General features: G+C 36.2%; 1 protein-coding gene across 3 annotated transcripts in view, besides 1 other annotated feature; it reads left to right on the top strand.

Moving 5' to 3' along the window:
• The window catches only part of PPP3CA (protein phosphatase 3 catalytic subunit alpha), a 324,109-nt gene that overhangs the window by 295,036 nt on the left and 11,444 nt on the right, over positions 1 to 17,629 (top strand). For all 3 annotated transcript variants that reach the window (NM_001130692.2, NM_001130691.2, NM_000944.5), the window contains one exon: positions 11,925 to 12,009. In NM_001130692.2, the coding sequence (NP_001124164.1) occupies positions 11,925 to 12,009 (85 nt within the window). The remainder of the gene's footprint in view (positions 1 to 11,924; positions 12,010 to 17,629) is intronic.
• Positions 11,192 to 11,811: an enhancer, noted in NCBI's record as "OCT4-NANOG hESC enhancer chr4:101961837-101962456 (GRCh37/hg19 assembly coordinates)". NCBI's record gives its function as "activates a minimal SCP1, AML or CMV promoter by ChIP-STARR-seq in naive and primed H9 embryonic stem cells {active_cell/tissue: H9 hESC(naive and primed)}" and the evidence as "EXISTENCE:reporter gene assay evidence [ECO:0000049][PMID:30033119]".

Raw genomic sequence — 17,629 nt, 5'->3', positions numbered from 1 at the left:
ACCCTTTATAAAGTACAGAATATACCCTTTATAAAATACAGAAAACTGCTTGTTTCATTATGCTTTCATCTTAAAAAGAAGACACCTTGTTATAGCTAGTATATCATTAAAACTAAAAGATGTCTGAAAAACACATGGGCATTTATTAGATGTAGTTTGGTATGATTCTTATCGTATTTAGGGCTATTGACATTTTGAAGCCTTGACTATCAAATAAGCTTTTACCTGGTTAGCTATCATACTTTAATTAGTTTCATCAAATCTGGCCTTTTATCTTTGGTCACAATTATTAAAATCGTTTTAATTTAGCAATTAAAATGGTGCAGTAATATAGGTATCAGAAGTACTGCCTTTTCTTCATATTGTACTACTATGATTGCACAAATGTGTTTCTTAATTATCTGGCATAATTTTCACATTGCATGGAAGCTCGTAATTTGCAGAATAAACTAAATGTTAAAAAAACAGCCATATCCCTGTTGCAGCTAATTGGCTGGATAATGTCCACCATTGGCCAGCATATTATACTCACAGTAAGGTAATATTACAAAAAATACTCCAGATTTTACACTGTATTTCAACATGCAGTATTATATGCATGTATAATATATATTTTATACAGCTTTTGAAAGAAATGATTTTTATAGCATTAGTTTTTATTCAACTAGTGGTGACATTAGCCAACTTATACTAAACATTAGCTATTGCATATCTAAGCATAAATGGATTTATAAAATTTATTCGAGAAAGCAAACCATGTTGCATAAGGGAAGTAAACATGTGGCCCTATAAACCTTAATGCATTCTTTATTTGAAAGGCATTGAAATAGAGAGCTCTCTCAGTGAAAGCAAAGAATCTCTGTATTTTAGAACACTTTACTTCTCGCAAACAGGGTTGAGATAATTGGCATGTGAAAGAGGCATTCTTTGTAGAAAGGCCTGTAGTAAGTAATGTTAACTAGCTGAAAACTAATACCAAAAGAAAATAAACTTTATTTTTCAAACTTTTCTGGCAGAGCTTTTCTGATTCTCTTTGTACTAAAGCATTAATGGATTCAGGTTCTTAACTTGAAGATTGTACTTTTATTAGAGTAATTGATAACTGATGGAACAACTGCAAGAGAGTTGTGAGTCCACAGTTTCTAAAACATTCTTTTTAGAGTAACTTATCTCTTATGGCAGGTGTAAAGGCTGTACTTAAAAGTTCAATAAATGTCCACAAAATTTAAATTTTAAAAGTATTTCTCTCTGAGATTTTCCTATTTTCATTCTTCTAGAAATCTGTTTAATTTTTTCCTCTTTATTCTTAGCTCATGAGAAGATATAAAAGCTGTCCTCCCGTTTTGTCTCAGAACTCTGTAGAAATAGAAATGTAGTTTCTATTTTATCAACCGCATCTTTTTGGAGTGGTCTATTTTGTTCTGACTGCAAAGCCAGCAGCATCCTGGCTGCTCTCATTGTCTCCAAGTGTGTTTGCCATAATCTGGGGTCCAGCCTTTAGCCTGGCTGGCACAAAACATAAATGAGGCCACATCTCAGGGCAGCTTGATATTCACCAAGATCACATAATACATCATTTAATTTACAGAGAGAAATCTAACTGTTTGAAAAACTGGAATGTTCATATCTGCACAAGGGTTTCTTCTTAATAATACCAAGCATTTTACAATACTTCCCATATACCAAAGTTCTGTTTTACGTGCATTAGCAGGTAGCACCCTGACTGGCACATTTATTTTTTGAATGTTGAGAATGAATGAGCACATTACTTATTTAACTCTGCCACCACGAGTGAAGTAGGTCAGTCAGCTGGTACTGTAATGAATCCTTGTTCTGAATCACCTCTAGCTAAAGACCTTAGGCGAATAATGTTTTGTTCCTTAGAATTATTCTCTGTCAAATAGAGACTAGCAGTACCATCTCCATGTGGTTGTTGCGAGGATTATATGGAAATAATGCATTTAGAACATGCCTCACTTTATAGATAAGGAAAGTGAGCCTTAAAGAGACTTAATACTTGCCCAAGGTAGCACAGCTGGTAAATGATAGTGCTGGGACTTAGACCAAGGTCTTTTATTCTAGGCACAAGTTCTTTACCTCTGTTCTATTCTGGCTTTCAAATGCCAATTTAGTTATATGTCTTAAGAGAAGTGGAGAAGCCAAGTATTTGTGATCTGAAGCTTTGCAGTAGGACCAGAGCACCTCACAGCCATTTGGCCCATGGACAGTACTTCCCAGAACATTTCAAATGTTTGCCTCAGCTGCTCTACTTTACTATGCGTCTGTTGCAAACCAACACATTTTCAACTAGCACATCCGTTCTCCTGATAAGATAATAATATATTTATAATAATATATTTAAGTGATGTTAAAGTCTCATGACTTGGGGACCATCTACTTTCTGAAGTTGCCTGTGCATGGGTCACTGGCCAGAACCTAGTGCTTGTTTTCTCTACTTCTCCTTCTTGGGCAAAACTTTACTACATCTCCCACGAAGTAACAAAACACCGTGCCTGAATTGTGAATAGCAAAAGACCTTTGAATGACTTCTTTCAGATAAGCTCATTAGATGCCAGTGCCTCAGCCATTCTCCACGGTCAGATGAAGGAGTTGTATTACTTCTTTCCGTCTGCTTTTTATTATGCTGTCAAGTGGTACTCAAATTAACTTTTTATCTAGGGTAAAACATATGAGACAATCAAATGTAATATTTAATATGTTTGTTTGTTTTCTCCCTTCACTTTGTTACATGTTATCATGCAGAGATAACATGTAAATGTCATTCTAGTATTTGATAAATGTATAAATCCATATGGGCCCAGAATTAAGTTCCAGTCTGAATGCATTCTTCCAGCACTTATCACGTATGCACAATTATGTCCTCAGTAAATCCTATTAAACAGTTATATCCTCATCCATGTCAAGAGCAATCTTTGATTAGACATCCAGGCATTATGACTGCTTCCCTTTTAGATAATAAATTGATATTATTAAATTTAGATTTATTCCTTTTTGTTTTTATTTTCTGTTATTACTTTATAAAATTGATGTGTTTTTGTCACGATAAAGGGGTTGAGCCAAATCAGATTTTATGGCTCTTAATTGCTTCCTTGGTAAATATTAAAAAACAAAGGCAGGGGGAGCAATATCCTCTGTAAGGCATGAGCTGAATATGTGACCGTTTCTTGAAAAATCAATGGAAAGTTCCTAATCTACTGTAAAGTCTTTCATTTTCACCCAGTTAGAATTCTGCTTATAGTCAGCTTCTGCGACTCAACCAAGGAGTCATTAAACAGACGGAACACAACATCTTAGAGAACAAAAGTGCATGGAATCCAATTAGAGTTTGGAAGTGAAAGTGACTTATAATTAAACAGAAAATAACCAAATAATGACAGTTATTGGGCATTTGAGTGTAGTCTGTCCATTTTTAAGACTTCCTATCCAAAGAATTTGGTTATGTTTTATGACAAGAGAGGTGGAGAAAAATTTAGGCTCTTCTGGCCTTCCTTAAAATCCATTGAACACTTAAAATCCGTTACACCCTTAAAATCCATTACACAGGAGAAACTTTTTTAAAAAAAATTACATTTTAAAGGCTCTTCTGTTGCTTTCAAAGTGGGTTGTAAGACAGAATAGCCTTATGCCAAATATCACACCATTCATTGCAGGCTCTTAATATATACTGAGATTGTAGTCAAGTTAAAAAAACATATGGAAGAAATTCAGAATATTTGCTTTAGAGTGATTTGGAGTGAGTGGCTATTATGTCCCAATTTTATCACCTATGGGAAGGATAGGTAATAGAGTTAGGATCCATATTAGAAAGATATTCTAAATATTTTAGTTTGTAATCTTCAAAAAGATGAATTTTTACCAGGATTTTTTTCACTTGTTGTCTTGAATGTGTTTCTCTTTTGCCCAAAATAGTAACTTATATAGGCATACATATGGCTTTTTTTTTTTTTTTTTTTTTTTTTTGGTGAGAGAAAGCAAACAATCTCTGGATTCACATTGACTGCACTGACCCTAAGTAGAAGAACAGTGCAGGATTCCCAGGTTTATGGCTAGTTAAGGAGTTCTTCCAATAGCTGTCAACTCTAGAAATAGAGTAATCTAATTCTTGATAGAACAGCAGTCTTCAGGCTGGAATATTTGTACTGTCGCGATTACCATAAGACATTTCAAGAGGAGTTAAAAGGAATCCATTTTCACATCCTCAGCCACCATAAGTCTTATTTTCTTAAAAGTGATCAGCCTGAGAAGGCACCTTGGCTGGAGGCCTTATCGCAGCTTCTCCTTTCCCGCCTCCTCTTTCTCAAATGCCCTTTTTCCATTTTAACAGAAAGGCACAGGTCTCCTTAGACATAGTCACTATGAACATTTCCTTGAGCTATAAAAACCTCTGGGGCACACACAAAAAGAGACATTGGAAAACTTAGTGTCTAGGAAGTCTCCTTAATCAAGGGAGCAATGTAATTTCCCTCCCCTCTTTATCATTAAAGAGATGCATTCCAATAAAATTTTATTTCTGTGCATTTTAATATTTATGAATAATTATCATATGTTAGTGCTCTCTATCTCAGTTAGGAACTAAAGAGTTGATAATTGTGAACTATCTATAATAATAATTATATTATTTATTCCAAAGGAATTTTTGAACACTTAGGACCCATCACCTCAGGAAATTTCTAAAATTTAGTTAAATCTCTAAATATAACATATAATGTAGTGACAAAAATATTTTAAAGTTTAGCATACCTGTAACCTCACTGGGGAGACTGAGGCGGTAGGATCACTTGAGCCCAGGAGTCCTAGTCCAGCCTGGGCCACATGGAGAGATCCTGTCTAATTTAAAACATGTATATATTTTAAAGTTTATAATGCACTGGAGTAAAATTGGGGAAATTTAAAGTGGAACTCAATTTCAAAGAAAAAAAGAATAATATAAGATTTCTAAATATCAATGAGGATTTTATTCACGGACTTTTCTCTAAGTGAATGATAGTGGGACTCAAATTGCTGTGATATTTATATGCCATTGGTAACAGAGTAATATAGCCATTTCATTTTAATCTCATAATGTTTACAACATTATTTACAACTATTTAAACATGGAATGGGAATAGTATTCTTTGGGGATATTATTTTGTAGCTACATGACTAAAAATTATAAAGGCTACAATTTTGAAGCCATTCCATCAGAGTAAACAATTATCCATTGCTTATGGTGCTTTTTTTAAATCTAGGACTCAAGCGCCTGGTGGTGTAGGACAATGTACTGAAGCACTTGTCACAATTCATAGCCAACAGCAAAACTGGGTGGATATCTAAAGTAACTTCTGCATAACATCCCTTTGCTGGGATATAAGAGCTCAAGGTTTGTTATTGTTAAGTTAGGTCAGGAAAGAAAAAGACAAGATAAGGTTTAGGGATTACTTCAACTGTTGGACATGTATTTTCCCAAAGAAGACAGTCTTTATATTCATAATTTTCGTCATCTGTAAAAAGCTATAAAGACCAATTACACAAGTTTCTTAGAGGTATCTGAAGTCTGTTCTGTCTTATGCATTATATCTTCTATTTCAAAGGTGCTGATTTTGGATGGACACAAAACCCATTTTTATCTTTAATATAGCACAACAAAAGATACTAATTATCTCAATACCTTATGCTTCATTTCATCAAGAGGTTTTATTCAAATTCAGTAATTGCTCTGTTTGGCAAAAAATAAAATCTGAAGGAACATTGAAACTCTGTTTAATAATATTGACCCATGATAAAAATTTTACTTTCAAGTAGAATAGGAATGAACTTTGTCAAGTTTTAACAAATTTGGAAGTGGTGAGTGGTAAAAAAAATTTTCTCAGAATTTGGATTAAATGTTTCAAAACATTTGAAGTCTACCAGCAAAATATAATTTTAAAGATATATCTTTCCTTTTAAAACACACAAAAAATTTTAGTATAAATATACTTTTTATATATATTTCATTTAAATACATATGCTGTGGATACACTTGCATTAGTTATACGTCCTGTAAAGAAAGAAGCCTAAATGATAACAAAAAGCTCATGGCCGATATAATGATCAATTGGGAAAGGTCTGCTAGTGTTTCTATCAAATAAAATACAACTCAATAACAATAACAATTTTTAAAAGCAGCTTTTTCACATTCTAACGTAAAAATATTTCTTTTCAGAAGATATTTAAGTATAATTTTTTCAAACTGGTCGTTTTTATTTCTTACAGTTGTAAAAATGTGTTGAAACTAATAAGAATCTGTTGGATTAGACTTTTAAAACAAAATCCCGCCAGTTCAGTTTTCTTCTGGATTTGGTGGAGAAGAGAGATGGGGAGAATGTAACTCCAGTGAGAAGTCTTCATTGCCTTTTTCAGCAAGCTCATGCATCCTCCCCTGTTACATAAAGGAAGGGCAGGGCAGGACATAGAGACTTCTCTCCCCAAAGCTGCTATTTTTCTTTCCCCACAAAACCAAATTTCTTCCAAGTATAGTTTCATTTTTTGACATTTTATTACAAAATATTTTAAACATACAGGAAAGTTTGAAGAACTGTATAGTTTATACTTAGATACTCATCACTTAACTTTCTATAGCTAATAATTGACTATATTTGCTTTATCACATGTCTGTCTCTACTCATTCAGCAATCTAACCATTTCTTTCTTTTTTGGTATCTGGCAAAGTAAGTTTTATTTAACTCTGTTGCATACATGCTAATATCTAAACTTCTTGTTTGCATGTACTACTATGCTAAAGCCTTTACAGGTTAGACCAGGCATTTCCTGCTTCTTTCCCACCCTACCATCTTCCGCGTTTACTCAAACTTCATTCACATCAAACTTCTTACCCATCATCTGACCATAATGTGGAGTTTTGCTGCCTTTACACATTTAAAAAATCTCTATGGAGAATGTCATTCTTCTTTCTTTTTGGCGTTTATTTATCCTTCAAGATCCTTGACTGTCACCATTTCACTGAAAAGTTTTTCTTGTACCTGCAAGCAGTTTGCACCTGTCCTCCCAGGGAAAATGGCCCCGGTTTGTAGCATTTGCAGATTTTCATGGTATAAATGTTTCCCCTACAGCTGATTTGAAGCTACCAACATTACTGACCATGGAGTTAAGAAGGAATACACTCAATATCCTCTTACCAGCTGACAGAAGCCAGCTCCAGTGTACCACTGCTACTTTCAATATAATATTTGTCACGGTCTATTGTTGTTGTTCATGTGATCTCTGAAAGCAGAGGCAATGCCTCATTCATATTTCTATTGCTAGCACATGGCAGGCTGTATAGTAAAGGAGTCACAAGAATATTTGATGAAGGAATGATTTGGATGGTAATTTGTACTCTACATAACACTTTCTGCACACTACTAATTCAGGTGTAACTGAAGAATTCACAGTAGTAGCTCCACAGTGGTAACTGAGCTGGAAGTCAGAGCCAACATCTGTTATGTGTGGCAGATACCCCAGGTGGTAAGAATCTCTCTTCAGCCAAGCACTTGCCCCCACTATCTGTGGTGCAAATGCCTTTTTCCAGTTCCTTTCTAAGGCTGAAATCTACCCTGTGGCGTTGCAACAGTCACTTAGAAGGCCATTTGCCATAGATATCTTAAAACTTCATGAGAAGTTAGCAAGGTGCTAAGTTAAGGGCAAGAAGGATATGTATTAAAAGCAAATCTTTAAAGATCCCCTTGGTCTGTGTACTAGCCTCCCCCATGTTGAGGAAAAATTGAGTTTTCAGGGTTGCTTAGATTCTGGAAATAGTAACATGATACCCTAGGCATAAAAGAAGATCAGAACTTAAAAAGGTGAAAGGAGAGGCCAAAAAAAGAAGTGATTATTATTTGAAACAAAATGAAATTTTACTTAAAATTACTATTTTTTCTAACATATGAAATACTACCTTTCAGTTTTGGACTTCCAAGTTGAAATAAGTGATTATATGTTTTTTTAAGTGGAAAGAAATCACCACAGTTTTCATTTAAAAGGTATTTTATGTGTCTTCATTATTTAATATACTGAATTTTAATTTGAGCTACTGTGGTACATTTTCACAACTTAAACAGAACAGTACCAAGAATGTTTAATATGACATTATCTTTGCATGTTGCAGGTAGTAAAATTCTGAAAAACATGTACTTATTCTTGATCTTTCTGTTTAATTATGGACTGTGAGGATTTGGAATGAAATAAGTTTTTGAAAAAGAGTTTTAATGATCTCTGGAAAATACCGAAAACCTGGAATAGCAATACTAAGTATAGTATACCAGAACATTTACATCTGAACTTAATTCTCTCCTGCTGTTGTTCAGCTCCTTTACACTGAATTACACATCAATCCACATATTTTATTTCAGTATTATAAATCTTTGTGAGATTATATATGTGTGGTTAGAGCTAATTTTGATTTTGATTATATGGAAAAGATTGAAGGTACTTTTCAGGATAAAACATTTAGAGAATAGTTTAATGTCTCTTCTTACTGTCCATGGTCAGGTTATTTTACTTTTTGTGTAAATATATTTCAGTTTTATAAGAGGGATAATAAAACTCCTTATCTGGGTTATTGAGAAATTTTTTTTTTTGACATGGAGTTTCACTCTTGTTGCCCAGGCTGGAGTGCAATGGCACAATCTCGGCTCACCGCAACCTCTGCCTCCCAGGTTCAACCGATTCTCCTGCCTTAGCCTCCTGAGTAGCTGGGAATACAGGCATGTGCCACCACACCCAGCTAATTTTTTTGTATTTTTAGTAGAGACGGGGTTTCACCACGTTAGCCAGGATGGTCTCGATCTCCCAACCTCGTGATCCGCCCACCTCAGTCTCCCAAAGTGCTGGGATTACAGGCGTGAGCCACTGCGCCCGGCCGAGAAATTTGAAAAGGAGAGTTTTTTTTTTTTTTTAATTAAGAAAAGTGCTAGAGTGTGTTGTGATTCACTATTTATGGGGAGCACAACTACATATACATAAAGTAGAATATCTTTTATATGCTCTCTAATCATTCATTTTATCTGAAAATATAAGGAATAGTATACTCACTGTGAGAATGTTCATTTTACATTTAAAATTTAGTATGTATTTGAGCATTTTTCTGATCATCAGCTTATACCAAGCTAAGAAGCACAGCTTTACATAATTTATTTCCCTCCTTTTCCAGCATAGTTTCTTACTTTTCATTGCTGTAGTTATGATTTTTACAAGTTTTTTATCAGAAATCTTCTGTGAGATTATTCTTCATATATATTTTTTACTTATTTGATTTTATATGTTCCTCCTCTCACCTCACTTAAATACATGAAGTTTTATTTTTAGACGTCTTAGCCACTCCTATGCTGCTTTTCTTGTTGTGCTTCTAAATATAGTGACCAGTTTTGGAGCTCTCCCAGTTTCCATTCTTTGTGTTCATTGAATTGATTTCATGATCTGGCCATATTGTTTATTGGAGAGAGCCAGAATATTTTCCCTTACTCAGCACATCATGACCCCTGAGTTCACAGGTCAGTTGAGGTAGGGAATTTTAAACATAGAGTAGTAATAGGACAATGTTAGACTGAAAGCATCATTGAATGGAATAACTGAAATATATATATACATGTATAGGAAGACCACCCTAAGGGGACTATTTGCCATCCCACTTTAAAAAAAAAAAAAAAAAAAGAAAAAGTCTTTTCATGGTCTCTTGTTCATTAATCATCTAAAATCCAAGCACAGAGAATTCAATTTTAGATGGTCTCCAGAGCAGAATTTGATGTATAATCTTAATTACAAATCATAGATAATTAATATTGTTTACAAAATCAGAATACGATTAGAGGTAGGGATCCTGCACACACCCTATTTTCCTCCCCAGTGTTCTGACCGAGAGACTAATTAATAATTCAAGGAACTTACAGTGAATGAGAACCCATGGTTTTGCTTAATTATCAGAACAGCTAGATCTGAGAACAGCTGTCTCCCACATGGATAGACACTTATTCCACCCATTTGCAGGTAGAATAGCTGGCAATAATAAGTCCTTCCCATTGGATATGTTGAAAGGTGCCTGCCATGGCATAGTTGCCACAAGAGAGGAAGAAATGGACACAAATGTAGGCTGTTTTCAGGGCAGAGGGAAGGTGGGAGGAAACCAGCTTGCTGGTTTTCACACACCCTCTGGGGAACACCCATGCACCTATGAGATGGGTTTGTGTTAGCATCACCTCTGAAAGATTACCCACCCAGGCAAAGAAAGTGACCCATATGTTTTCACTTTCTTGGAGTGGAGGGCAAAAAAAAAAAAAAAAAAAAGCAAAGACCTTTTTTCTAGCCATTTCAAAATTGTGTGTGTTGTACAAGTTTTCTTTCTCATGGAAATGTTGGCATATTAATTGATCCACACAATCAAATAGATTAGAAATGGTGTTCATAAAAGCCCTCTAAGGGAAACAGTAGAAATCTTTTTTTCAAAACCCTTCTGTGAAAGCTTGCTGTTACCACAAATTATAATAAAAGACCAAAACACATACCAGTTATCATCTATAGACTACCGTCCCTGAGCAAATTACTTGACTCAAACTGTTCATTTGGATTAGGAACATTTCTGTTATTATTTGAAAAGAATATTCTGTTGTATATCTATTAGAGGCAGTAGAATTAGACGATCTGCTTGTGTTAATGCTTTCTATAAAATCCCACATAATGAATAAAAAGGATAGCTTATCCATTTTACCTTGGATTATAAAAATCTTGACCAGGTGCGGTGGCTCACACTTGTAATCCCAGCACTTTGGGAGGCTGAGGCAGGCAGGTCATTTGAGGTCAGGAGCTTGAGACCAGCCTGACCAACCTGGTGAAGCCTGTCTCTACTAAAAATACAAAAAAAGTTAGCTGGGCCTGGTGGCACATGCCTGTGCCAGCTACTTGGGAGGCTGAGGCAGGAAAATCACTTGAACCTGGGAGGCAGAGGTTGCAGTGAGCCGAAATCGCACCACTACACTCCAGCCTGGGTGACAGAGCGAGACTCTGTCTCAAAAAAAAAAAAAAAAAAAAAAATTTGTGAGGTATTTTTTCTGTTTTATACTTCTTCCAATGTACCTCGGGAATTAAAAGAAAAAATAAAATGGGCTCATTGAAGTATTACTTTAAAACATTATTTTAAAATAATATGTTTATTTGTAACAATAATCTATGTAATTAATTTTTTTAATTTAGAAAATGTAACAAGTGGTAAGACTTACCCAGAAAAACCATGCATAACTTTCAAAAATAGTACTAAAATGCAAACCATGGTGCCATTGTCTCTTACTAAATCCAATTTAGCAGTTCTCTACTCTTTTCTCTAGAACTCATGAACCAACCAGAAGATGAAAGAGTATCAAGTACTCAAACAATCATCATCAAATAATTATGAATGATGTTGCAAGGCAGATAGGGAATTAAGAGACTTCTTAGTTTAATCACATCAAAGGAGAACTTTTGGAAAAGCAGTTTCCTAAAGTAGTTTTCCCAGCATGGAGACTGCAAATGAATAGAAGATGGTGATAAGGTACTTAACTCTTCCTCCCAATGCGTGGTCTCTGTATAAATAGAAAAGAAGGGGAAAGTCAATTGGAAGAGGAGGATAGGAACCTACCCCTCTCTGCTCAGTGATTTTCCAGTTAGCTTCTTACTCACCTCCCCTCTGGATATCTCGAAAGTTTTTCTTTGGCACTATGGGGACCTCTCAAAAATCACATCCTAGTATTGGTGGCCAAAAGCTTAAATTTTCAAATTTGATTTACAGATAAATCCTCTTAAGGGGGAAAAAAAAAAAATACTGATTTTGCTTACTGGAGTCTGTTGTATGTGTAAATGTGTAAAATCAATTACAATTAGATAAAAAATTACTGACCACTGAACTCTGTTTGAAAATACAGGTGCAACAGCTGCAGCCCGGAAAGAGGTGATAAGGAACAAGATCCGAGCAATAGGCAAAATGGCCAGAGTGTTCTCAGTGCTCAGGTGGGTGCATTCGTACTCTGTTTTTGTTTCAAATTGTATTATGTGTCACCTAATAAATACTTTAATACTTTCATCTGGTAATTTAAATATTTTACTAGAGAATATTTGTCTTTTTTTCCTTTTAGATTAAAAATTGAGGAAAATTAAATGAGAAATTGTCAGTTTCTCACTATTTTAGTTAAATTGCAATCTACTAAATTATTTCTGTTAAGAAAGTCTCGAATTGCATCACATTTTATTCCTCTATTTGCTATAGGACTTTAAAACATTGATTTCACGGTAGGTTGAATATCTTAGGAAACAGGAAAAGCTATTGTAATTTTTTTTGTTTTGTTTTTCGTTCTGGCTCGTGGTGAAAGATGTATTTATCAGACACATTTCACTAGATTTCTAGGAAATGAACATCAGCCATAAAGCTGTTCATGTGAATCTATGTTATTCTAATTATTGAGAGAAAAATTACTGTTTCAATTTCCATATAGTAGTATATTTTGTAGATTATGAATCATATTATTATTATTAAGCATTAATTTAGAAAACAAATATTTTCTTGAAGGAAACTCCAGTTATTTCTAAATAATACAATGTAACATTTCTCTTCAAAAGATTACTTTAAAATATGATATATTTATATGTAAGGAGTCTACAGTCAATTCAAAATGATACATATTAGCGAGTAAATAGGAACACCTTGGGAAATATTACATCTACAATTGGATAATTTAATAATCAAATTTTTTGCCAAATTTTTGCCCCAACTCTTTCTCATAGAGTATCGACACTGGCTCTTTTGATTTCTCCTCTTGCTATTTCTATCCTCTTCCTGGTACAGTCACTAAAGAGTAACTGAATGACTTAATGCCAAAAGAGGTAGCCATGAGAAGGATGAAAAGCATTATCATGCTCTCTCAGAGACACCACATCAAAGGCAGTGAGAACTCTGTGGTAGCCAGCACATTCACGACCAGCCATGTTCAAGCGGAAAATAGGGCATCATTGCTCCCTTCCGTTATTGAATGAGGCTACCTTTGCTCTATTGCTGTACGTTTCCAACTACATTTTCAGGGCTTATTCATTCATGCCATAAGTAAATATAGTGAAACTTAAAGCATTGATTATGTACCATGGAGAAAAGAAATAAGGCAATGTAGAGATGGAGCAAGTGGGAGATAAAGAACTTCTTTTAGTGTGTGGTCAACAAAAAACTTTCTGAGTAATGGTATTTGGGCAAGCATAGGTGACCTTCATGAAGAAATGAGGTAAGGGAGTTCAAGGCAAAGACAATAGCAAGTGCAAAGATACTTAAGTAAAGACAAAACTGGCAGTTTTGAGGACCACAAGGAGGCCTGTATGGCTAGAAAAATGTTCTGTGGGGACAAAGGCGTATATGAAGGTCATAAGCTTAATTGGAATTCTGAGTAAACACTTGTTTATTTATTGTGCCTCAGATTTACCAATAATGCTTTTATTTCTTATTCTGTCTGAAGTCTCTGAGGGAAAGTAAAAACAGCTCTAGAATTTCCATGACTATCCCGTGATAAATGGACTATTTGAACCCAGTGATGAGTGACTTGACTTAAAATTGCACATGTTAATAGAAAATAAAAGCAAGCTCTATATTATTGTTTTTCTATAATAAAAGCATCCATAACACATATGCAGAATATAGAGAGATCCTATCCAGAAAAAAGTAAGTTAAGCTTAGTAAATAATGATTGAGCATTAACTGTATACCATGCACTGAATTAGGCAATCTAGATACCAAATTGGAATGCCAGCCAGATAGACAATAAACTAACAAAAGAAAATAAAGTGGCCGGGCGTGGTGGCTCACGCCTGTAATCCCAGCACTTTGGGAGGCCGAGGTAGGCAGATCACAAGGTCAGAAGTTCGAGACCAGCCTGAGCAACATGGAGAAACCCTGTCTCTACTAAAAATACGAAAATTAGCCGGGCATGGTGACACGTGCCTGTAATCCCAGCTACTCAGGAGGCTGAGGCAGGAGAATCTCTCAAACCCAGGAGGCGGAGGTTGCAGTAAGCCGAGATCGCGCCACTGCACTCCAGCCTGGGTGACAGAGCAAGACTCCATCTCAAAAAAAAAAAAAGAAAAAAAAAGTGTGTGCTAAATAACTACATGAATAGATACCCTGCTGTGGCATTAGACAGGAAGGAACCTTGTGTTTCCTGACTGGAGTGTTCATAAAGAGGTTAAAATTGGAGGAGTGCTGTGAAGGATAGGCTGGATTCCAGGGCAGGGAGAGATGTGGTGAAGGCATTCCTGGAAGTGGAAAAATTATCAGGAGCACAGCCACACAATCCTAAGAGCACTATCAATGGCATCCTTTTATGGGGCACTTGCTAAGTGCCAGGTTCATGCCCCATGTTATGCACATTTGACAATCATCGACACAGGAAGCTTGCAAGGTTGTGGTGACTTCACTTTGCTGTGAGGAAATTGAATCTGAGAGAGGCTAAGCAGAGTGTCCAAACTCCCTCAGTTGGGGAGCAACACTAATGAGAGTCTTACTCAAAACTGTGCTATGTAGTCTAGTATAAATTCTTAGCAATACTAGTAGTCTAGTAATGAATTCTAAATGTATTAAAGGACTGACTAGCAAAAGACATGAAGGTGAGTGAGGAATCTAGTTTAAAAGGAGACTGAAAATATACTGAAGTCCATATCCTTGAGTGTTTTGAATAGCATGTTAAAACATTTAATTTTTGTGTGTGTAGGCAATCAGGAGTTGTAGAATTATTTTCGTGAGATTAGAGGCATGCTCTAACCCATGTTTCACTATACATGTTAATTGCAACGTGAAGATTGGCTAGCAAGGTGACGTATGGATAATGAAAAAAGTGAATAAATATAAAATAAAATGTAAATTAAAAAAAAAAACCATTTAGGAAGCTTTTGAAGTAATCCCAGCAAAAGGCTGGACCAGGCTATGGGGAGAGAAGTGCAAAGGAAAGGACAAATACAAGGAATTTGGGAAAACAGGACGTGATTAATGAATGTGGAATGTGGTACAAATTTGTCAGGTATACTTGCCCAACATGTTTCTTACGTTTTGGAAATGTGCAACCTTATAAGGGAACCAGAAAACTGTCTTTCAGCAGTCCTTGCAGATAAAATACAAGTCTGTTGCCTAGGGTTTGCCAGTCAGATAAATGCATGTAAGCAAGGCTTTGTTTCAAATTGAGCATCATGAGGAAGCAGCAAGGCAGGACAACAATTGTCCTGTCAGGTGTGGAATCTCATGGGCCAGCAGTGGAAGAGCTTCCACCTCAGCATTTTGGGAGCTAACTACACAGCATTAGTATGAGCTCTGGCATTGGCTGTGAACATCAGTGGCAAGCCTTTCATGGAGCCCACCCCACAGTATGAACAAGTACTGTTACCCTTCCCAGCTACAGAGCATCGAAGCCCAGTTCTCTGGATCTGTGAGCTCTCTAATACCTTTAATATATCTCTTTCCTGTTAAAATTAGCCAGAATAGATTTCCGGTGTTGGCTGTGAGAACCCTTACCTATATGAGAGGCTACAAGAGAGAGGAAGTATTCCAGAATATTCTACAGGGGTTCCAGTCTATGCCATTGATAGGATGCCATTGTCTAAAGAAGAGGAAGTACTTTTCAATTTAAATACCTAACAGGTATTTATCGGGAAGAGTAGGATGCACTGAATTTGGCAGAGCATTTATGTAGAGGCACTTAGAAATTCTGCCCTGGAGGTTCAGAGAGAGGCGAGGGTTAGAAATGTGGACATAAGGCTGGGTGCGGTGGCTCACGCCTGTAATCCCAACACTTTGGGAGGCCAAGGCGGGTGGATCATGAGGTCAGGAGATCGAGACCATCCTGGCTAACATGGTGAAACCCCATCTCTACTGAAAATACAAAAAAATTAGCTGGGCGTGGTGGCAGGTGCCTGTAGTCCCAGCTACTCAGGAGGCTGAGGCAGGAGACTGCCATAAACCCCGGAGGCGGGGCTTGCAGTGAGCCGAGATTGCGCCACTGCACTCCAGCCTGGGCAGCAGAGCAAGACTCCATCTCAAAAAAAAAAAAGAAAGAAAGAAAAAGAAATGTAGACGAGAGTAAACAACACAGAGACAAGAGTACAGCAATGTAAGCTGATGGTCTTGCTAAAGGATAGCGTGAAAAGTGAGAGGAGAAAAATAAAGAATTCTTCAGAACATTGCTTTCCAATAGAAATAAAATGTGAGCCACATCTGTCATTTTAAATTTTCTAGACACCACAGTAAAAGGGGTAGAAACAGAAACTAAAGAAATTATTATAATACAGTCTGTTTAACACAAGTCTCCAAAATTTTATCACTTTGACATTTGATCAATATAACACTTATTAAAGGGACATTTTCTATTCTTATATTTGTACTACATCTTTGAAATCCCATGTGTATTTTACACTTACAGCACATCTTAATTCGACTAGTCATGTCTCAGGTGGTTAACAGCCACATGTAACTGGGGCCTACATATTAGAAAGCACGGATCTGGAGATAGAAGAAAAAGATCAGCCTAGGAACTGAAAAGATGTCAGAGAAGGAGAAGGAGAAGCAGGAGAAAAAAGCATTACAACACCTAGGGCAAAGAGTCTTTCAGGACGGAGGGCATGGTCATCAGAGGAAATTACTGCAGAGATATCAGTTTGAATGAGAATTCAGCAGAGATAGTTGGAATTGAAAAATGAAGAAGCTGCTAGAAACCTTTGAGGGCATGGCTTCCGTGTGAGGCAGGAATGGCAGTCACAATTAAGGGAAGTAAGGAATGTGGTTGAACAAGAAAGAAAAAAAGAGCAAGGAAGGAAGGAAAATGACCATCTTCTATGCTGGGGCTTTTGTAACAGTGTATCATTTAATCTTCATGGAAATCCCATAATTACAGTTGTGATTTTATAGATAAGGAAACTGAAGCCCAAGAAAGTTAAATGATGTCCCAACATCAGTCTTATGACTGAGATGTTAGCCTGAGTGTGACCCCCACAAAGATGTGATTTCCCAAAAAGATCTTCCTACTGTTGGTACAAAATTAAAATTTTGAAGATTAAAAAGAATACTTCAGATTACCAGAAGAGTTTTGTAGGTAAAAAGCTAATAATTTACTTGGCTTTCTCAGAGCATTATGGGTTGTAATTGTTTTTTTTGATGAGTCCCATGTTTTTGGGGGGGTTTTGTTTTTTTGTTTTGTTTTGTTTTAAGACGGTCTCGCTCTTGCGCTCTGGCTGGAGTGCAGTGGCACGATCTCTGCTCACTGCAACCTCCACCTCCTGGGTTCGAGCAATTCTCATGTCTCAGCCTCCCAAGTAGCTGGGATTACAGGAGCATGCCATCACACCCGGCTAATTTTTATATATTTTTTAGTAGAGACGAGGTTTCACCATGTTGGCCAGGCTGGTCTCAAACTCCTGGTCTCAAGTGATCTGCCCACCTCTGCCTCCCAAAGTGCTGGAATTACAGGTATGAGCCACGGTGCCCAGCCTGAATCCCATATTTAATACAGGATTTGACACCAAGATTTTGTATGTAGGAATTATAATCACTCATGAGGCAAAAGCCATATTTTGAATATGAATGTAAAAGAAAATTGTGTTCGTTCTTTAG

This window comes from Homo sapiens, chromosome 4 (assembly GCF_000001405.40).
Source record: "Homo sapiens chromosome 4, GRCh38.p14 Primary Assembly".
Lineage (NCBI taxonomy): Eukaryota > Metazoa > Chordata > Mammalia > Primates > Hominidae > Homo > Homo sapiens.
This window is presented reverse-complemented; position numbering and strand designations above follow the sequence as displayed.